The 22708-nt window shown below is 40.7% G+C and overlaps 1 protein-coding gene across 6 annotated transcripts in view, besides 5 other annotated features; it reads right to left on the bottom strand.

The window, feature by feature from the left end:
• MITF (melanocyte inducing transcription factor) overlaps window positions 1-8835 on the bottom strand; it is a 228869-nt gene extending 220034 nt beyond the window's left edge. For all 6 annotated transcript variants that reach the window (NM_001354607.2, NM_001354608.2, NM_001354604.2 and 3 more), the window contains exon 1: window positions 8598-8835. Coding sequence is in view for 4 of the 6 variants with exons in the window: in NM_001354604.2 (NP_001341533.1) it covers window positions 8598-8701 (104 nt within the window). In the remaining 2 variants the exon portion in view is untranslated. The remainder of the gene's footprint in view (window positions 1-8597) is intronic.
• Window positions 8600-8899: a silencer, noted in NCBI's record as "silent region_14519". NCBI's record gives its function as "represses an Ori minimal core promoter by ATAC-STARR-seq in GM12878 lymphoblastoid cells {active_cell/tissue: GM12878}" and the evidence as "EXISTENCE:reporter gene assay evidence [ECO:0000049][PMID:35858748]".
• Window positions 8600-11041: a biological region, named in NCBI's record as "MITF-A promoter region". NCBI's record gives its function as "regulatory_interactions: MITF".
• Window positions 8699-11041: a promoter, noted in NCBI's record as "-2233 to +119 fragment for MITF-A promoter". NCBI's record gives the evidence for it as "EXISTENCE:reporter gene assay evidence [ECO:0000049][PMID:10760582]".
• Window positions 9276-9317: a protein binding site, noted in NCBI's record as "PAX site A5". NCBI's record gives its function as "positive regulation of transcription" and the evidence as "EXISTENCE:protein binding evidence [ECO:0000024][PMID:12756174]".
• Window positions 9276-9317: a protein binding site, noted in NCBI's record as "PAX site A5". NCBI's record gives its function as "positive regulation of transcription" and the evidence as "EXISTENCE:protein binding evidence [ECO:0000024][PMID:12756174]".

The following is a 22708-nucleotide window of genomic DNA, read 5'->3' as shown; positions in this document are numbered from 1 at the left end:
ACTGCACTCCAGCCTGGGCAAAAGAGTGAGTCTCCACCTCAAAAGAAAAAGAAAGAAAGAAAATTATCACTCTGTGGGTACTTGAATCAAAGAACACAGCTACTAAAATCCAAATGCTTTGAAGATTTTTTTAAAGATGTCAAATTAAATGCATGCCACTTCCTGTGGATGTCAAAGTTGGTGAACACTGGAGGTGGTATGTGGGAGGAGAGCTTCTTCTTTTTTGTTTCTGCACCAACACTGACATTTTCACAACAGAGTGGACAGGAAGCATGATCTCAGGACAGAAACACAGGACTAGGAGTCAGGAGTTCTACACTGGTTATTTGTTCGTGGTAGGCGTGTATGTTTTGTGAAATCAATCTCAGGCTTTCCTTTTTAATCCTCAATTACTTAGGCCTCTCCTTAACACCAAAAAAGTAATTAAAAATCCAGCCCCAAAAACTATGGTCAGACATTAATTATCTCAGGACAACAACAGTCAGGAGAACAAGGGATGACATCAAGTAGGATGATCCTAGAGGAAAGAAAGGATAACAAAACTAACAAGACCCATCTCCTCTTTTAGTCCAGGGTTAGGTTTATAAAGACAAGCATGAATCTCTGACTCACTCAACATTAGGAAAACATTTAAGACTGAGTTATAAACACTTATAACAAAGATTAATGTCTGTGCTTCTTTTTCCACTATTCATATGTTAACTTCAGTCCTATGGGTAACCCTGAACACCTACTAAGCCTCAAGCCTAATATTAGCTGCTTTACATACATTACCTTTTATCTTCACAGAAGCCTTGCAAGATGGCAACTGTCCCGTTTTACAGAAGAGAGAATTAGAGTTCAGAAAGGTTGGATAACTTGACCAAAGTCACAGAGCCAGTGAGTGGTAGTGTCTGGATTTGTGCCTTTATGTCAGATATTCAGTCTTGCCTGAAAATCACTTCTTCCAACAGGTCATTCCTGATCATACAACCGAATAAAAAGCCCCCTTCTTTCATAGGCCCATTCTACCAATAATGCTCCATTTAATTTCCATAGCAGTTAGTAAAACTCATCTTGCTCATGTATTTGGTTCATTGTTAACTGTGCGCCACCTCCAAGATGTATGCACCATGCTAGCAGGAACCCATCTGCTTCTCCACTGGACTCCCTATGGCCAGCACAGAGACTGACACTCAGCACCCAGTCCTTGAGAAGTCCCCAGAAAGGTCAGCCATTAAAGATAAAAGCTTCATCACTCTGAATCCCAGGACAGGGGTCTCAGGTGAACACTCCAAAGGTCTACTTCTCTACTCTTCACAGCATGCATCCAAAGCCACAGGAGGGAAAGACGAAGCGAAGAAATAAGAAAGCCACATTGTAGAAATGGGCTAGAGAAATAAGCTTACCATTGAGAAGCCAAACCTGGTCCTCCTCCCAAGATCATTTGCAATAGAACGGGAGGTGCAGAAATTTCAACAGAGATCCCAGACCTCCCTGTGGGTCTTCTCGACCTCGTTTGTCTCTATAAAGATGCAGACTTATCCCTTGGTATAATTCCTATCCTCGGAGTACACAATGTTCACTAGACTCACAAAAACCTTCTTATAAACTGCAAATTTGCCTTTATAATATCAAAAGCTTGTGGTGGCTGCATTTAATATCTTTGACCTGTCTTCATGATTATTTTCTCCAAATAATGCATACTTGGAGTGTAGTCAAACATATTTTTATAATTTATTCCGATTAGACAAACCCTCAGCAAAGTACATTTTATACCTCACACACACAAACATACACACACACAAAAAAAATGAAACTCTCACTTATTGTCCTTGAAAGATGACAAAAAGAAAGTAGCCAAGGATTTTTTTTTCCTATTATTTATCCTAATACTGCCAATCCTGAAACAAAGCAGTTGGAGAGGGAAATTTAGTAACTTTGATTTGTCCCAAGATACATTTTTTTACACTGAGGTCCTATTCCTGACAGTAAGCACATGTGATCTGTTCTAAAAAAAGGATATTTTCCACTTCTTGCACAACTGGAGCAGATATAAACATCAGCCTGTGCAAACTGCACTGCAGAACTCAAAGGGAATTAAACATATATCAACTTAAGTAAAATCTGTAAATAGTAGTAATCGGGAAAAGGAAATCTCCAATAACAAACGAAACCAAGACTGAGAATCCCACTTTAATCAAGTGTTCCCTCTAATCATACCACAAAACGAATCTGCATAGTACGATTTGAACATCTGCAGGTTGAGGCACCTCAATCTTGTCTACTTTGTTTTGGATGCATGATTCTATATATGTTTTAGTTATTCTTAAGAGAAGGGTAAAAACTGCTACCATAGTAAAATTCTACTAGAAAAGGAGGAATTAATTTCATTTACTAACAGTGCTAGGTGCTATGTTAAACACATTTATACATTTTTGCTTAGTTTTAAAAGTTCTACCAACCCTAAGGGGGTGGGTTCTATTGATCTCATTTTACAGCTTAGAGAAATTGAGACTCCAAGAAGTTAAGTTTCTTGAACACAGATGTACTGGTTAAGTGGCAAAGCAGCGACCACAGACAGCACTTAAGCAGGGCTCCCTCTAAACCTGTCCACATGCATGCAGCCTCTCTGCCACCATGAGGTATCATCAGGTGCCTGGAGACCACAAGAAAGAGCTTAAAGAAAGGTTAGAAGTTTAAAAGGCAAACGGAAACCCTAAATGTCTACTTTAGGACCATGCCCTCCAAGATGTCTAACATTTTACTTAGTGTAGAGAAACACATTTGACTATTGTTTCACCTTTAAGGCCAAACTCAAACACCCCTATTTGTCCACAAAACTGCCTCCCCAGTTCCCCTTCCTCTGTTAAATGCCCCCAACTGCTGATGCCCACCCTGCCACAGGGACCACACTCTGCCTTGTATAATTAGCTGGACCCATGAGTTCTCTTTCCCTCACCACACAGGGAGGGCACAGTATGATGTATCTTTGAATTTTGCACAATCAACCAGGCATAGTACAGACTAGAGGACAAGAGCATGTAGCTACAGAAGCATCAGTTTAACTCCAGGCCCCACCAACTTGGCATACCTGAGTTTCCCTCTCTGTAGAATGAGAATAATAAACTATTACATACACCCAAGGTTGAATTAACAGCATTAATATAGAGTTAATATTCATAATAGTGCCTAGCACATAGGAAGCACTAGATAAGTCTTAACTGTTTTTAAAATTATAATTAATATCATTATTGTTTTTATTTATTATGATCACCTCATGCAGATTTCACAAAGATTAAATAGGTTTTACACACGTAAAAACACTTAGAATGGGGCTCACACATAGTACATACTCAATAAATGTGACCCATCATTATTAGTATTAATGTGCACATACTAGGACTCAATAAATATGTGTTGAACACGAATTTTTATGGATACACTAATGTCAAAATTGTTAGTTTTTTTAACTAGCATAAAAGAATTGTTATGATTAAATGAAAGATACAAAGTGTAAAATATTTATCTGAACACTTCATTAGAAGAAAAGCAAAAAGGAATTTACTAACATTCAAAGAACTGTGTTGCGTAACAACACTTGCCTTAGAGAAGACAACCACAGTCAAGCAAATGCAAAACACCTTCCAAAATGCCAGGTTCGCTGCTAGGTAATAAAGAAAATAGCAACAAGAACATCTGCTAACATTTACTGAGCATTTACTATGTGTCAGCACTGAGCACTTACTGTGTGTCAGGTGCCATGCTAATACTTTTCCCACAGTCAATGTAACACTTATATTCTTGAGACTACTGGAGGCAGGCCCCTATTTGCCAGATGAGGAAACTGAAATTAGACGTCACCCAGCCTGCCCAAGGTCACCCAGTTAGTTAGGGACAGACATCGATGGCAGAACAAGGCTCTTCATCTCTATGCTAGTGGTTCCCTCAGATTAGACAGACCAAAAAAAAAATCAAGAAAACTTTCAGAAATCAAAAAATGATTGACAGTTTTGTTTTGCCAAGAATGGATTATTATGTCATCAAAGAAAGGGCATTTTTTAATATGAAGACAGGAGAAAAACATCTCAGCATAACTCCAAGAAATGGCAGCGGCCTTACACCCAAATATATGTAGGTATGCGTGTGACGCAACAGTCTTTGTCTTTCTCATTTCACCCAAACCTTTAAAAGTTCACACACCTTTGTGAATCAGCATTTGGGGATCACTGCTGTATCCTGTCCTGCCATGATAAAGCTAATACTCACTTTCATTCCCATTTCTAATTTGCAGAAAATGTAATAACAGCTGTCTAAATAGTACTAAAGATTTAAGAAGAAATTGGAATTAAACTAAGCCAACTGTGAAGTCTGTCCAGGAAAAGGACATTAACAACTACAAAGCCATGTGGACTGAGTAAACCAAACAAAAGGACTATGAGCCTGAAAGATGCTCCTACGGTTTAAAATGTTTTTGGGTACAAAAGACCTGTAGAGACTTCCTCTGCTCCTAGGAGCTCATTCAACAGTTTCACATTTGTTTCCCTGCCATGACTATGCCTATGTGAATTCTGGGCTCACTCTAGATATTCAGCGCTTTTCCTCTGCCACCCACCATTCAGAACTCATTCCCAGGAGAACACAAGGTTTCTAAAACCTTGTCGGAGGAAACGGTGTGCAAACAATTCATTGGAACCTTTTCCCACAGCATGTGTCTTCCTATACACAGCCTTAACCACCAATATGACCAAAATGAGATTCACATAATCTAAATCCAGCAACTTCAGATTCCTAAAGGCAAGGATGTCTGGGTTAGAAATGAAACATGTCCTTCCTCATGAAAGACTTGAATATCTGAGGTTAGCCCCAATGAACAATATATGAATTCCTCTTTGGAGAAAGCCTAGTAGGTATCTATTTTAAAGGAAACACAATATTCATTGCAAAAACAAAAAACCAAATACCATACCTTGAGTGGGTTATGGTATTAAGGAAGAAAGCAACACATACTCAAACAAATATTTATTGTGTCACGCATTGTTCTAAGCCAGTGGTTCTGAAATGAGGGTACTTTGCCTACCACGGGATGTCTGACAATGTTCAGAGATGTTTTTGGTTGCCATAATTGATAGAGGCAGGAGTACTGGCCTCTAATAGATAGAGGCCAGGGATGCTGCTGGACATCCTGCAATGCATAGGACCCTCCACAACAAGGAATTATCTGGCCCAAAATATCAATAGCACTGAGGTTGAGAAACTTTGTTCTAGGCTCTGGGGACACAATAGTGAGCAAGGAACAAACAGAAAACCCTGTTCCCTTGGAGTTTGCAGTCTAGCATGGAGAAACACGTAATAAACATAACATATTGGAAAATTATACAGTAGATTATAATATAAGCCCTATGGGAAAAAAATATATAGCTGGACAAAGAAGACAGAGAATTTGGAGGAACAGCAATCGCAAATACTGTGGTCAAAAAAGGGCCACACTATCAGTGTGATGGGAATGATGTTTAAAGAATGAACTGTAAAGAAAATAACAAGAACAACATCTGCTAACATTTCCTGAGCACTTACTACGTGCCAGGCACCATGCTAATACTTTCCCACAGTCAACGTCACACTTAATGTTCTTAAGACTCCTGGAGGCAGGCACATACTGGTTGGTGGGGGAGTGAGCACTGGGTCTGTCTGGGCAAAGGATGATCAAGGCAAGTGCAATATAAAAATGCCCAGTGGTGGAAGGGCCTGGGGTATTCCAAAAACAGTGAGGAGACCAGCCTGGCTGTAGCAGAGGGAGGTAGGAGGCAGGCAACAAGAGATAAGGTCAGAGCTGACATCTTAAGAACCTTGAATTTTACTGGGAGAAATTAGGAGCCATGGGCAGGTTCTGGGCAGAGAATGACAGGATCTGACTTGAGGTTTAACACAGAGTTGCTTGACCTCAGCACTACTAACAATTTGGGACCAGATAATCCTTTGTTGTGGGGGCTGTCCTGTGCACTGTAAGATGTTTAGCAGCATCTCTGGCCTCCACCTACTAGATATGGGTAATGATCCCTTCCACTGTAACAATCACAAATGTCTCCAGACACTGTCAAATGACCCCAGGGGCAAAATCACCTCCAACTGAGAACCAGTTTTAACAGGAACATTGTGGCTACTATACTGAAAATTCACTAAATGTGGGTATTGCAGTTTAAAAGACTACTGCAATAATCCAGGCAAGGGCTGATGGTGGCTTGGACCAAAGTGGTAGCAGAGGAGGTGGTAAGAAGCGGGCAGATTCTGGACATATTTTCAACTCTAACAACTCTGGACAATCCAGAGAAGACAGTTGATAGGCAGAACGGCTACAGCAGTCTTCACATATCAATTTCAACTTTTTCCGACAAAGACTTGTAAGAAGTGAGGTGCCCCAGCAAAAACATAAGACAAAAAGCAATGAGAGAGAAGGCCCTGAACAATGTGCAGCCCTTTTAAGTCACACAACAGATGTCGACGACAATACCTTAGACAACTGTGGAAAACAGTATAGAGAAATGTTGCCAACTCCATATATTTATTCACAGATTTTATTTAACTGGTTTATTTCAAAGAGCATGTGTGTGCTCCATATACAAGTTTTACAACAACTTTTTTAATTTAGCCTTCCTTTCCCTGCTGGTTCAGGCCCACACCTGTTTCTAGCATTAACGTGTGAAGCCATTTCTTCCCACATACCCACATTTTCCCTTACACGTGCCTGCTAGCTAGCTACTGAGGACGTTCACCCTTACAAGTCTTTTTTGCTGACTCTGAAAAAGAACAGGCCCAAATCGTGCAACATGAGTTTCACGGCACTCATTTGGGTTTTTCCAGATGGTATTTTCCTCGCTCTCTCAAACTGATTTAATGTTATGTATCAGCTACCATCAGAAATGTTCCAAACAGTCCGGTTAATTTATTTCTTTCAGGATTCCACACACACACTCATTCCCTCATTCTGGCCGTGTAAGCATTTGCTTATAGAAGCAAAAGCAGAGACTGCCCAGTAAAACACTGGTCCCTTCAGCCGAATGCAGATAAAGCCCTGATGAGCATAACCAACAATACCCTTCACACAATATTACTCAAAACCCCCAGCCCCCAACACACACAATCTATGCTCACACACAAAACAGCCATTATGAGGAAAAACCACCAACTAAAGGCTGGTTTTATACGTCCAACTGCTTAGGCGGTTTCCTTCCAATCTGCCGTGAAGCATCTACAAAGAGTCTTCAGCAATGGCAGTCAGTAGGACCGCTGTTCCCAGATTTTCTTCCCCAACTTGGATAAAGAGTCCTGCCACAGCCCTGAAGGAAATAAACCTGGCTGCACTTTCCACTAGAAAAAGAACCAGCCCAGTGCTCGCCAGAGGCCAAGATTACACCACTTGGCTCCCCGTTCAGTTGCCCTTCTCCACTCACCCTCATTTCAAGACCCTCTCCCACTCTGCCAGCCAGGCCCATTCACCCAGGCCCCATCCACAGCGAAGGGCAAGGCAGGAAGTTACAGCCGAGTGCAGAAGCCCTGCTGGATGCTTCCAATGATAGCCTTATCCTAGCTCACAGCTTAGAGGGGTGGAAATAAACCCTTCTCAGCTATTCCAGCCTCCATTGACCATGTCCCTTTTAGGAAACATTGTAAACGAGAAGTACGAGGCGTCCAGAGTGGCTGCCGGACAGAGAGAACGGAAGACACCCAATCCATTTCGACAGACAAGTGGGAATGGAGGCAGCAAAAAGGGTGGCTCAAGGGAAGTGGGCACTAGAGGGGATGGGGCATCAGAGCAGTGGATGTCTTCACTCCTCGTCTAAAAAGTTTCTGAAGTCCCCAGCGAATTAAACACGTGTCTCTGCCAAGCGGGGTACACTCCCAGTAACCCCCAAGACCAAGGCTCATTTCCCCTCTGCAGGTAAGGCCTGGATTTGAATGGGACTCTATTTCCAGAGAGTTTAACTTGAACAAGGGGACACGCCCACCGCTGCCCTGGCCCCTCCCGCGCCCGCTAGCAGCGGTCTGGAGGTGAGAGGCGGAGCCCAGAGAAACCTCACCTGCAGGAGCCCAGAGGCTAGTTTCCCCACAGAGACCGGACTCCCAAGAGGTGACTCCAAGCGAACTAATTGCTTCCCTCCAATGTCGCATCTCAGTCCACCCAAAGCTCTCCCTCTCCGAGCCCTCAACCCGCTGGGATCTTCAGAAAGGGGGTTCACTAGAACTCTTTCTCCCCCATCCCACCGGGACAGCGTCCCGGCCCGGCGCTCCTCCTCCCCCACATCGCGCCAGGTCGCTCCCCAGCCCCCAATCAGTCTCAGCAGCTGGCATCCTCGGCCGAGGGTCCCCGCGCCTGGACGCTTCGTCCCCGGCGACCCGCCGCGCCCCCGCGAAGTGCGCTCCATCCGAGCTTCCTAAAGGCGCACTTGGGCCGGGCAGGCGCGGCCCCCAACTGCGAGGGGCAGTTCGCCCTCTGCTCCGGGGCAAGGGCACTGGGTCCTTGTCCCAGAGCTCCCGCGACCCGCTCTCCTCGCCCCAGAGTGGCAGACGCAGTGCCCCCCAGCCGCCCGGTGCGCCTCTGCCCAGCTGTCACCACTCACCTGCTCTTCAGCGGTTGACTTTTGAGTTCGTAATAGGTTTTGGGCTCTTCATGAAACTCCTCCCCGACTTCGAAATCCGGCACGATCCCCGATTCGGACTGCATGGCTCCCGCTTCCCGTCCTTCCACTGCTGGAAAGTGAGAACAGAGCCCGGGGGCGGAGGGAAGGTAGCTGGGCCTGGGTCCCCCGAGCCGTGCGCCCCGGCGCAGTGCCGAGCTCTGCCCGCTCGCCGGCTCGCGGCCGCCCGCCCCAGCGCGGGGAGTTTACACTCGCACCCGGGCGGGAGGGGCTGGCGGCCGAGCGCCGCCTGGGATCTGTAGTTCGGCCCGGGCGGGGCATTCCCAGCTCGCCTGGGGAGCCGCTCCCACGAAAACTACAGCTCCCAGAAGGCCAGGCGGGGGAGAGGCAACGTGGTGGACACCGCTAGTGCAACTCCTGTTTGGATTCATTGTCAATGTCAGCAGCTCCTCTCCCTCCTCTCTCCCCACTTGCTTCAAGGGTACAGACTTGGCTACTTAATATGAATAAGAATGGACACTGACTGCTCTTCTACCATCGCCCCGACCTCTCAGCTCAGACATCTGCGAGGGCACGCCAAGTGCTTATTTTAAAAATAAAATAGTCAAGGGTTTTGGCACAAGAAAGTTTTAGCATTCGAGCCTGTCTTAAAATAAAAGGACTTCCTATCAGCTCGCATGCTTCCCTGGGCTGCTGCGACATATCAGCTTGTCCTCGGATTGGAACAACGAGGAAGAACTTTCCTTCGCTCTGTAATGAAAACGTTATTGGAGAAATTGTTCTTGTGCGTTCCTTTTCTAGAACTAAGTCTGGACTTTTACAATAGTATTCATCAGTTGAATGGCTCTTTCCCCTTTATCCAAGTAGCCACTTCTAATCTACAGCAGCAATTGAAAGATTCGGTTAATTTTAAAAGGCACAAAGTTACAAAATAGCGTCGTTGCTCTCTGCTTTTAATTTCTCAGTTGACTGGGAGTTCAAATGAGATTTGTCCTAGCATTTCAGGAGTGAAGATGTACAAGTGAACTGTACAAGTGTCCACCCCTTCCCGAGCTTCCCGGAACTCACTTAGGGAAGAGAATTTTAAAACTCTCCGTTGTGGCTCATTTGTACTTCTAGTTCTTCCCTCTGATTAGCTCCAGTAGGACGTGTTCCTTCTTTTCAAAAGTGTTTTGAGGCATCAGGGAGGCAGTATAGAGTTACAGTGGCATTTAAAGGTATAAGACTCAGAGTTGAAATCCCCAGTCCTTCTAAGAAGAGCTGTGCAATCCTGAGCATGTCACTTGGTTCCTAGAAGCCTCCATTTCTTCATCCATAAAAGAAGAGATTGGCAAACCAGTTTTAGAAGATGTTGCAAGGTCAAATGTAAGAGAAAGTGATTTGCAATCTATAAAAACTCTGCTCAGTGGTCATTCTTTATTAGGTCTTGAAGTTATTCCTTTCAGATTAACATCTCATTTTGGTGTTTGGCCTTTCAGAATTAATAAACTAAATGACTGTCCTAGGAGAAAATTCTAAAGAGGCTACAGTGACAACTGGGCACCTCCCAGGAGTTACCCCTTTGCATATCTTGCCTCCCACTGAAACATTTTAATTTCACATCAGAAAAGACATCCAGTAGGATGGATCGATGTTAGGGCTGGAGTTCTCAAGGTGATTTGGAAAAAGTGCAGAAGGCACACTATGTTGCAGTAGCAATTACCAAATTTTCAGAATAAAAATTAGTCCCCAACATACGACTTTTAGGCCCTCCCCTGAAACTATTAAACTATGTCAGAATACCTGAGAACACCCCTAAGGAAAGTGGGAGTTTTGTGCTCATAAAAGTGGGATCCTAGATTCCTTAATAGATGGACTGCTGGAAATTAGCTGTCAAAAGCAAACAAAGAAAACGTGTTTCCTTCATGTTCTCTGGGAGAGAAAGAAGAAAGATCAAACATGAAGGAAACATGCAGTCTAGACTTCTAATCTCATCTGGGCTCTCAATTATCAGTGCTTGGAATATGGGAGGAGGGGTTGTCATAATAACTTATGGATGTTACAGACGTTTAAGGGGTATGGGCCAGAGACACTACACATATTGCACAATAACAAATTTTCTTGTCCAAATTTCAGTGGTATGTATCCCCATTGAGAAACATGGGAAGCTGCCTAATCTTTGGGCTCACCAGAAGTTTTTTAATCTGAGGGAAGCTACGGATCCTCTTCTCAGAAAATACAGATAGAAACAAAACTGTGCATAATTTTGGTCAGCTGACCCACTGAAGGCTATCACAGACTTTATGTTACAACTGCAGTTTATAACTTCTTTAGATCTGCAGTGAAACAGTCTACCCATCACTTATTACATCAAATAGTGACCTTCCAGACCTAAGGGACTAACCTCAAAGGAAAGAAAACTCAGGAAAACCAAGACCTCCGAATTCATCTTCAACTAAGTACACCCGCAAGAGAGGTCTCCAGGGTGCAGACCTCTGAGCTGAGGTTGTCCTGAGGTTCACACAGATAGCTGTTATTTTTTTCTCCTATACCTTTTCTTCTGGTCTCATCCTACTCCTTGTTCAGGAAAACTTATTTTCCATTACATATGGCTGGGTTATCCATTACAGTGCAGTCTGCTACCCAGTGCATTCTGATTCCTTTAAGACTGGACAGGGGACCTTGAGATGACTAGAAGTCCTCCTTAGGACTTCTCTGCTAGGGCAATGGGAGAAGACTGTTTGCTTTGCTAGAAAGAAGAAAATCTGGAGCTACTTACCCATGGGCAATTAGGGAAGCTAATTTGAAATGGAAGAGAATGAGATAAGATCAACAAAAAGAAGAAGAGACAAGCAAAGATAAAGAATAGAAAAGTACGACAACATTGTTTCACTTCCTTGTTCCAACCATACCTGAAGTCAGATATCCTTGGACTTTTTAGATATATGAACAAAAAAAAATTCCTTTTTGCTAGAACTATTTTTTTGTCACTTGCAACCACAAGAGCTTCGCATAATCACCATAAAAATATTTCACTCCTTTAAATGGATGATTTTCTGTGGATTGCTATACCATTAATCCACATAACCAAAAGCTGGCCACCTGATAGATGTACCCTGTAATCCCTCTTCATTAATGAGTTAAGCCCTAGGGTTAGGTACCACTTTGAAAAATAGATGATAACAGGCAATAGATCCATACATTTAAACTAAAGACTGAGCCTATTAAATGTACAAAAGCAATGACTACAGATTATAATTGTTGTTATTAATATTACATGTATTTATGTAATACATTACTTTTTACATACACTTGTCACATACATCTCTTATTTGAGCTCACAAAAATCCTTCAGAGATGGATAGGCAAGGGTTCCCCATTTACTCTATACTAAATATGTGCAAGGTATGGGCATGGCAATGTGTTAGGTACCTGGAATACAAAAATATATTTGACTTCCTCCCTCCCCTCATGAAGCTTCCAGTCCATGAGTTGAGTCAAGGCTTGTAACACAATGAGAAACCACACATAAAGCAGCAATGCTAAGCAGCAGATACCCAGTGTATGATTTGTACTCTCATATCCTCTTAGCTCAACAGCTATTTTTGGTGCATCCACTCTGTGCCAGGCACATTGTGCCCTAGGTATGGGGAAATAGCAATGATGACACATATGTGGTCCCTGCACACAGGACATGGTCCTTGACCTTTTAGGAGTAGAAATGGGCAGGATTTAATGGATAACAAGAGCGATAGATAAATACTACAATTGTCTAAGAAAAGAGCAACCACTGGGGGTCGGGATATTAAGACTCCTGGAAGCGATGTGACTAAGCTCCATCTTTTAAAAAAAAAATCTAGGGTATATGAAAACTAAATGTAATCAAGCCCCTAGGTCTAACCACCAGTTCACAGGAAAAAAAATGCAAGAGAAGACCACGTCAATAACATCACAAAAATAGAATCAGACAACCCAGAGATTTAAAAATTCTGTAAGACATTGAGAAATTCTTCAAAAAATAAATAGCATGAAATAAAGGGGAAGGAAGAACTTGTAAAGGCTTTAGAAGATTTAAGAGACATATTAGGCATGTGAATTATATATCAATAAAAAATGAATTAGAGGCTGGGCTTGGGGGTTCATTCCTATAATCCCAGCACTTTGGGAGGCCAAGGTGGGAGAATTGCTTGATCCCAGGAGTTTGAGACAAGCCTGGGCAATACAGAGGGACCTCATATCTACTAAAAATTATAAATAAATAAATAAACAGGAAAAAAGAGACATATCACTGAAATACCTTATGTGGACTTTATTTGGACCCTGATTAAAACAAACCAATTGTAAAAATTCATTCTGGGGAAAACTGGGAGAGTTTGAACGTGGGCTGGAATTGAATGACATTTTAAAAGTATTGTTAATTTGTATTAGGTATGATAAGTATATTATGCTTATCTCATTTTTATACTCTTTCTGTTAGAAATACATATAAAGTATGTATGGGTGAGATGATATGATGTCTTGGAGCTGTCATAAAATATCCCATCTCCTCTCCTTCTATCTCCAGAAAGGCATGGGAAAAGAAATATGAAACGTAAATGGTAAAATGTTGAAGCCAGGTGACAGGTTATGGGAATTCACTATACTATTCTATCTACTTTAGTGTAAGCTTGAAAATTTTCATGATCAAACATTTTTTAAAAAATAAAGTAAGAAAGAAAAGAGAGAGGAAACTATCATAACAATTTCTTAAATGGGTTATGATTTCTGATGAAATTAGATTAAAAACCATGTCATTCAAAAAGAGAAAATGGACATGATGAAGATACGGAAGCAGGATTGTGTCTGATATGTTTGGAAAAAAAGAGCCAGCAGAAACTAACTAGGGTGTATTTCAGCAGAAAGGAATCTTCAAAAGTCTACTGAGTAGCTCACCAAACCTAAGGAAAGGCAGCAGACCCTAACATATAAGCCATGCAACTGGGAACAACTCCAAAATCTATGCCATAGAACTGGTCTAGTGAAGGCACACCCACACCACTACACCTCCCACCACTATTGTATCACTAAACATCGTAGCTTGCACCTCCAGTACTGCACACAGGACACTGTCGAAATGCTGCTACCACCATCCACCACCAAAATGGATTCAGCAAAGTCCTGGCTACTTCACCTGCTTATCTTCCAATCCAATTGGTGGATCTAGGTTTTGTGCCCAAGCCTTAACTGCAAAAGATGCTAGCTATCCAAAACTCTTTCTCTATTTTAAAGACTATAAAATAAAAAATCCTATTTTGCAGCCTCCCTGGCATGAATATTCAGTCATGTGTCCAAAAACCCAAAAATCTTCCCATTCCCTTCCCTTCTTAAACACAATTCAACTTTTGTTTCTGTTATTTGAAATACATTCTAATGAGCACAGGAGTGAACAGGAAGAGGCTATCCAGTTATCTAGAAAGAGGGTGAGATAGGTATACATGAAGAAAAATATAAATAACAGGAAAATACCAAGGAAACAGGATGTTAGGGTTGGGGAGAGGTGATGATCAACAGCAGAGTTTTCTGCACCATCCTCCCAGCGTATATATTCTTTCTATGTGTGCCAAGGCAGTGGATATATGCCAAGGCATGGGCCCTGCCCCCCCAAAATAATTTAAGCTACACAAACTTTAGACATGAAGCATGTCAAATAGGAAGGTACTTAATTTTTAAGGCATAAATATGTTTAACGGATTTTTAGGGTCTTTTAACTTTTTGGATTATGGATTTCTCTGACACTGTTGAAAGCTGCAGACCTTCTTACCAGAAAAAAAAAGTGCACAATAAAAATTTCATCTGCAAGCTCAGAGGCACCAAGGACCACCCTGTGGTCTACTATGGCTCCTCCTGGATTCTGTGGATCATGAACTATTAACTTCTAAATATATTATTCTTGAAAGTGCTGTATAATGTACTTTTCTAGAGCCACTGCAGAGGGCAAGGGGGCAGGGGAAGAGTGCTATGTTGTGCAGATCAGGAGAGGAAGGTGTTGTGCCCCTCTCAAAGCGACGTCCATGAGCCATGTCCATGAGAATCACCTGGGGCGTCCATTAAAATGCAGAGCTCCAAACTCAGAGCTAGAACTATTAAATCAGAATTGCCAAGGGGTGGGGATGAAGAATCTGCATTTTTAGCAAACTCCCCAGCTAGTTCTTATTCATGTAGGAATTTTAGAACCACTACTTTAAGGGATGACATCAAACCAGGCTGAATGAAATCTCAACAAAAATGAGAAGAAGACAATTTGAAAATAATCCAATGTGAAGTTTGAGGAGCTTGGATCTGAATATAAGAGGCCACATAAAGGGATTAGGAAAGGACTGGCTGCGATCTGCAAGGTGGCTTAAACGGGTTAGAAATGATATTCTGATAGGTCTCAAGAGTAACTCATTGCAATGGAGCAACTGTGAAGAGTCAACAGGGTTCAGAACTCAGCAGTGAGCTTGGGGATGGCTTTACCTTGTTTAAAACAAATAAGTGCCTTGTGGCTCATGAGCCCCAACCAGGCAGATGGCAAGAGATGGTTGTCACCCCAGAGCTACTAAGGCAGGAGCGAAAGAGGGGTTGGACCCTAATGTAGACTTAGAGACTCCAAACCTAACACTGAGCAGTAACGGAAGGCTCATGCTTTTAATTCTTATTCCAAAGTGTCTGAGATCGCAGGATTGGAGCAAGAAGGAGAACACAAAATATTTCACAACATAATATAGCAAAAGATGGAAGATAAACTTCAAAGTGGGCATTTCTGCTTCTCTGTCCTCCTTTACATAGCTACCAAAGCAACGTTACTTGCTTTTATGTAAAATATTCTAAATAAACTTATTTTTATATTAGAAAAGTAATAATATTTATTCTTTAAAAATTAGAAAATGCGGATAAGTAAAAAGGAAAAAAAGCACTGGTAATCCTACTATTCAGATATTTATACCTAGTCATATGTAATTCAATATGTTCATATATATGTATAGATATATAAATAAATATTCAAAAGGAGATCACACTGAATATACAGTGTTGTCCCTGACTTTTCCCTGTCTTGAATTTATTATATGTTGTTCCTTGTCTATAAATTTATTTTAATATTTTTAGAATATATAATTTTTCCACTATATATATTTACTAGAATTTATTTTTTTAATCTCTGCATTGTTGGGCCTTTATTTGATTTCCAAGATTTCACTCTTATAGGTAAAGATAGTGTCGCTGTTTTCCTAGTAGCTAAGTCTTTGGTCCCATTCACATTAATTTCCTAGAAATTGAATTGCTGGGCCAAAAAGCACTCCTGTTTTTGAAACTTTTGTGAAGAGGTATCTTTCGAGAACACGTATCTCACCTTCCATTTTCCCCTGATTGAAATCTTTCAGGATTCCTATTGCTAAAGAGTAAAGGCCAAGCTATTTAACCCTGGATACCCAACTCTCCATATCCTGGGTCCACCCACCCTTCCTTCATCCTCTCAGATCACCCCCTGAGTTTCATATTAAGCAACTGCAATAACCCCAAACTGCTTCAAGTTATCAGAATTTGCCAGTCTGTTTTTCCCTTCCCCTTTGGCCTAACGCAATTATTTGGACTTAAAACCTCAATTGGGCCGGGCACGGTGGCTCACAGCTGTAATCCCAGCACTTGGGGAGGCTGAGGTGGGCAGATCGCCTGAACTCGGGAGTTCAAGAACACCCTGGGTAACATGGTAAAACCTGGTCTCTACTAAAATACAAAAAATTAGCTTGGCGTGGTGGCACGCACCAGTAGTCCCAGCTACTTGGGAGGCTGAGGCACAAGAATCACTTGAGCCCTGGAGGCAGAGGTTGCAGTGAGCCGAGATCGTGCCTCTGCACTTCAGCTTGGGCTACAGAGTGAGACTCCATCTCAAAAGAGAGAGAGAGAGAGAACCCAATCAGGTGTTACCTTCTTCAGGAAGTCTTGCCCAACTCTACCAACCTTCACCAGATCCCCAAGTTGGTTTTGGGCCCCATTCCTAGGTCCTTCACATACACTGTCTGTAATACACTGGATTATAATTATCTACATAACTTTTCATGCACATCCACCAGCACCATCACACACATACCCAGTACACAGCTGCCCTTGCCCAAACTGTGAGCTCCTACAGGGCTGGGACCATGCCCATGATAGATACTCAGTAGCTGTCTATTGAATGAGTGAATGAATTAGCTGTAAGTAAAAGAAAAAATGTTTTCTAGCAAAGTCACATTGGCTCCTTTCAGTAATAACAAAGATAATGCACATGAAAATGGGATTTTGACTAGGTTTTCCATAGTGTTCATATGTAGCAAATAGGCAAATATTTATTGAACAAAATAACTGCTTCATCACTAGGGCTCTATCCTAGCCTGAACTGATTTATCAGCATAGAATTTAGCCTGTGTCCCAGTGGGATTCCTGATAAGGAGCTGAGATTTTTTCGTTAAAACAACAGGCAGACATGTTAAGACTTGCTACTGGGTGATTTGGAGAAATATGCTGAAAAATAACTGAAAGAAGCATATTTAGCACTTATTAAGGTTACTGAAATAGGAAGCACAATAAGCCAAGATGCAGATACACTTCCTCCGGTGAAGTTTACAGGGATAAACCTCAAGGGATTTGACATTCCCCTCCATGTTAATGCAAAACGTTGTCTGAAAGTTTTAAAAGATAAGCTTTCATTTATTAGGTTACAGAGGAAAATACATTCATCTTAATTTTCCACTAGAACCCAGTAAGGAATAGGTGCTCAATGTACTGCTATTGAATTGACTTGCCAAAGTAATATGTTAAAACAGCAAGATCCAGGAGTCAAATTTCAAGAACTTAGAAACACAACACCTAGGGACAAGTGAAGAAAGAAAGTTACCCAGTATCTTATCTCTTAGAAAGGAATTAGAGTGGACACCAGGAGACAGTCAGAGGACTAATGAGTTAATACATGTAAGGTGCATAGAACAGTGTTTGACGCATAACCAGCATCATCCAAGATTTTTGCAAAATAAATAAATCTGTATTTTTTATTCATTTAAAACAATATCTATTTAGTACTTACATGGTACTAAACATACTGCTGCCAGTCACATACTGAGAAAAACTAGTTGACACACCCAGCTAAGGATTTTAAAAGTTTTTCTAGTTTAGGGCCAGGTGCAGTGGCTCATGCCTGTAATCCTAGAACTTTGGGAGGCCGAGGCAGGCGGCTCACCTGAGGTCAGGAGTTCGAGACCAGACTGGCCAACATGGTGAAACCCCGTCTCTGCTAAAAATACAAAAAATTAGCCGGCATGGAGGCGGGCACCTGTAATCCCAGCTACTAGGGAGGCTGAGGCAGGACAATCGCTTGAACCCAGAAGACAGAAGTTGCAGTGAGCCAAGATCACGCCACTGCACTCCAGCCTGGGCAACACAGTGAGAATCAGTCTCAAAAATAAATAAATAAATAAATAAATAAATAAATAAATAAATAAAGTTTAGTTTAGGCAAAAATAGAGTTTTTAAAGGTATACCAATAGTCTGGCCTCCTTTTCTGCCTCAGAAGGGCCCTGGCTCCACCATTTATTGGCTGTATGACCTTGGGCAAGATATCTAACTCACCCTACTTCTCAATTTTTTTATTTGTGAAAACAGGTTAATAGAACCACATTAGTTGTTGTGAGTACTAAATAAAGATATAAATATAATTGTCTGGAACATATAAGAACTATTGGCTAATTTTATATTATTATTAGAGAAATGAATCCTTTCTTTTTCTCATGTCATTTTTCTTTTAGTTTATTATTTTGAAATGAACTTTCCTTGAAAATTATGAAATATATCACACTTAAGGAAAAGTGCATAAAACATAAATGTATTCTTTTACAAATAATGATCCTTGCCCACTTACAACTTCCTTCCTCCAAGAGATAACCACTTTTAAGCTAATCATTCCTTTTTTTGCTTTTAAGTTTTGACACTTAAATATGCCTCCCTAAGCAATATAGTTCATTTTTCCCTATTTTTAGATTTTTTTCTATAAATGAAATTGTGGTAGTCAGTTTCCACAATGGCGCCGATGATCCTGGCCTACTACTGGCATTTTTCCACGTTGAATCAGGGCTGTTTTGTGCGACCAACTTCAAAGGCTAGGTCATAAAAGGTTATTGAGGTTTCTGTCTACTTCTTTCCATGTGTTTACTCTGGGAAGGACCAGTAGAAAGCTCAAGCGGTCCTGTGAAGAGGCCCATGTGGATAGGAACTGAGCCCTCCCACCAACATCCTGCACCATCTTGCCAGCCTTGTGACTGAGTGACCATAGAAGACGATCCTCCAGCCCTAGTCAGGCCTTCAGATGTCTGCAGCCCAGATGACATTTGGCTGTAGGCTCATGAGCAACCCTGAGCCAGATTTGCTTCAAGCCACTCCCAAATATCTGACCTACAGAAACCATGAATAATAAATGATTTTTGTTGCATTAAGCCAAGAAACTTTAGAATAATTTGTTATGCAGCAATAGATAACTAACCAGGAGTTATACTGTATAAATTCTTTTGTATCTTTATTCTTTTACTCAACTTTCTTTAAAAAGATTCACCCATGAAACCATATGTAGCTTAGTTTATTTACTTTCATTACCATACAGCATCCCCTTGTATGGATGTGTTTTGGCTTAATTTTCATAATCATTTCTGTATGCAGAGGAAATTCTTAACCTGTAGGGCTGGAAAAGCAGTACTTTTTAATTTGTGGGGCAGATCTATGCAGATGTGGGAGGGAGAGAGGGATAAATGGCTTTGGATCACTTTTGAGGCCAAATATGCCATCAGTATTTTAGTAATCTAAATATCTTGAATCACCAAAACAATAATGTTTTGGAATGATGCTTACCTCTTTCCACTGCCAACTTAGTTGGCATTCTGAGTGACAGCCTCAGTAGTCCTTACATATGGTCCCAAATAGTCACCGGGCTTCACTCTCTCTCAAATAGAAATCAGAAGAGGGTTTGGGGTGGAGATATACACTCTCTTCTGGGATATATTTTCCTGTGACTGATTAAATCAAAGCGAACATACTGAATGCCACAGACTTAGAAAGCCATGTTTTCTTCTCATTTAAGCTGTTCAGTAAAGCAAGAGTTCTGAGGAACAATCCACAATCAACTGGACAGCTCAGCTTTTTGCATTCTATGCCTCTTTTGGTAACACATAGATTAACTAAGAAATTGGGACTGCAAATCAGTTACCTGGTGAAAACTTATTAAGAATAAGAATTCCATTTCTAGGAAACTACACTGTAGAAATACTCTCACAAAGGTACAAAAATGTATGTACAAGAATTTCCATTGCAATATTTTTCATAATATTGAAAAACTGGATCCATGGCATGAGGACTATAGATAGATTATGATGCATCCTTACAACTGAATTCCATGCAAGTGCTTAAGAAGGAACGAGACTGAGTTCTATGAGCTGACATAGAAAGATGTCCAAAATAAATTTTACATGAAATAAAAAAGCATGTTACAAAGCAATATATGTCAATTCTATTTTCATTTAAGAAACAAACAAGCTGGGCACAGTGGTTCATACCTGTAATCCTAGCATTTTGGGAGGCTGAGGTGGGCAGATTGCTTGAGTTCAGGAGTTCGAGACCAGCCCGGGCAACATGGCAAAACTCTGTCTCTACAAAAAATACAAAAACTAGACAGGCGTGGTGGCATGTGTCTGTAGTCCCAGCTACTCTGGAGGTCGAGGTGGGAGGATCACTTGAACCCAGGAAGTCGAGGCTGCACTGAGGCTTAAACATGCTACTGCACTGCATTCCAGCCTGGATGACAGAGCAAGACCCTGTTTAAAAACAAAAACAAAAATCAAAAAACTTGTGTGTGCAATGGTGTATATGGATTAAACCATTAAGAGCTACTATTGGGGCTGAGGAGGAATTATAAAGAAATTTCACTTTCAAAGTTGTACTTTTTTGTAATGTTTGATTTTTTTACAATGCATGCATGTGGCTTTTGAAAGCGGGGGCAGGGGAGGAACGGCAATTTTTTAATATGTCGTTTAGGTCAGTAATAAAAATGGCAATGATTACGGTGAGAAGAAGTGATCAACTATAGACTTAAACCTCAGGATTCTCTTTAGTGCTTGCTATAGGATCTTCTTTTAACTACTAAATTATTTCTACCACCAGTCAAAGAGCCATAAAAACCAGACAGCATAAAAAGGCTGGACAACAGGTGTATATTTATCTCCAAACTCATCAGATTGTATGCATTAAGTATATATAGCTTTTTATGTGTCAATCATATCTCAATAGTTTTATTTTAAAAGGCTGAGCAATTAGTGCCTAGGGCACCTGTTTACTGTACCACTCTTTATTACCATCTATTTTTCAGTTTCACAAATAAAACATGTTAATTTTAGAAGTACTAGAAAATACTACAATAAACAAGAAGAAAAAATTATTTATAATTGACCCACCAGAAAGAAATGACTTTAGTATTTTTTGGACAGTTGTCCAAATTTATTCTTAATGTAACTATACATACACACACACACGTATATATACACACACACATATATAGATACACACGCGCACACATACACGAACTGTTCTTTTCAAAGTAAGAGTCAATACTATATGCATTGTTTTGTAACCTGTTTTTCTTCAGATAATATATTTTGAACAGATTTTTATATTAAAAATATTTAATGATCATGCCTACAGAGTATTTCGTTACATCAAGAGCATATGAAGGGACTTCAGAAAGTCCACAGAAAATATGTATTATGAAAAAAATGCGTGGATTTCAAAGTTATTTTGCACCAAAATAAACTCGTACTAACTTGTCATAGCATATCTGAATGGGATCTAGTTTGAGGCACTAAGAAAGATAAGACAGTTGGAAAAGAGTTCCTATCACAGCAAGATGAATTCTGCTAAAACTGAAGCAAGAACAAACATCAAATTTATGGTAAACTTTGGGTGAAAGAATGATGAAATCACTGATGCTTTATGAAAAGTTATGGGAACAACACCCCAAAGAAATCAGCAGTTTACAAATAGATAACTCATTATCAGAGGAGAAGAGACAATGCTGAAGATGAAGCCTGCAGCAGCAGACCATCCACATCAATTTTCAAGGAAAAAAATTAATCTTGTTCATGCCCTAATTTAAGAGAACTGACGATTACCAGCAGAAGCAACAGAAAACCACAGACATCTCAATTGGTTCAGCATACACTATTCTGACTAAAAAATTAAAGTTGAGCAAGCTTTCCATTTGATTGGTGCCCAAACCATTGTACCCAGATGAGTACCACTATGATCCTGGAGACAAAGCACAATCAACGCAATGACTACCAAGAGGTGGAAGTGGTACAGTCAAAGCAAAGGCAGATTACTCAAGAGCAAAGGTCATGGCAACAGTGTTTTGGGGTGTTTGAGGCATCGTACTTGTTGACTTTCTAGAGGGCAAAAGAGCTATTGTTCTTTGAGAGTGTTTTGAGAAAGTTTTGTGAAAGCTTTAGAAGAAAAACACTCAGGAAAATTTCACCAGAGTGTCCACCATGACAGTGCTCCTGCTCATTTCTCTCATCAAACAAGGGCAATTTTGCAAGTGTTTCAAAGGGAAAATATGAAGCAGCCACCTTACAGTCCTGATTTGGCTCTTTCCTCCTTGACTTATTTTTGTTTCCTGATCTTTAAAAAAAAATCTGTAAATGGCACCTATTTTTCTTCAGTTAATAATGTAAAAAAGACTGTATTGACATGAATAAATTCCCAAGACCCCCAGTTCTTTAGTGATGGGCTAAATGGCTGATATCATTGTTAATGAAAGTGTCTTGATCTTAATGGAGGTTGTGTTGGAAAATAAAGTTTGTATTTCTTATTTTTATATTTTAATTCCATTTTTCATTAACTTTTTGAAGTCCCCTTATATAAAATGATTATGAACCACTCCTGGATTTATAGGTAAAGTTAGTACTTTTGCAAATATTCAAAACATTTATGAAAACTTTAATGCAAAATACATGTGGATTTTTCTAGAAAGGGAGCTCCTATCTCCTTGGATTCTTCTAGGGTTCTATAATCAGAGGAAAAAAGAG

Source organism: Homo sapiens, chromosome 3, assembly GCF_000001405.40.
Source record: "Homo sapiens chromosome 3, GRCh38.p14 Primary Assembly".
Lineage (NCBI taxonomy): Eukaryota > Metazoa > Chordata > Mammalia > Primates > Hominidae > Homo > Homo sapiens.
This window is presented reverse-complemented; position numbering and strand designations above follow the sequence as displayed.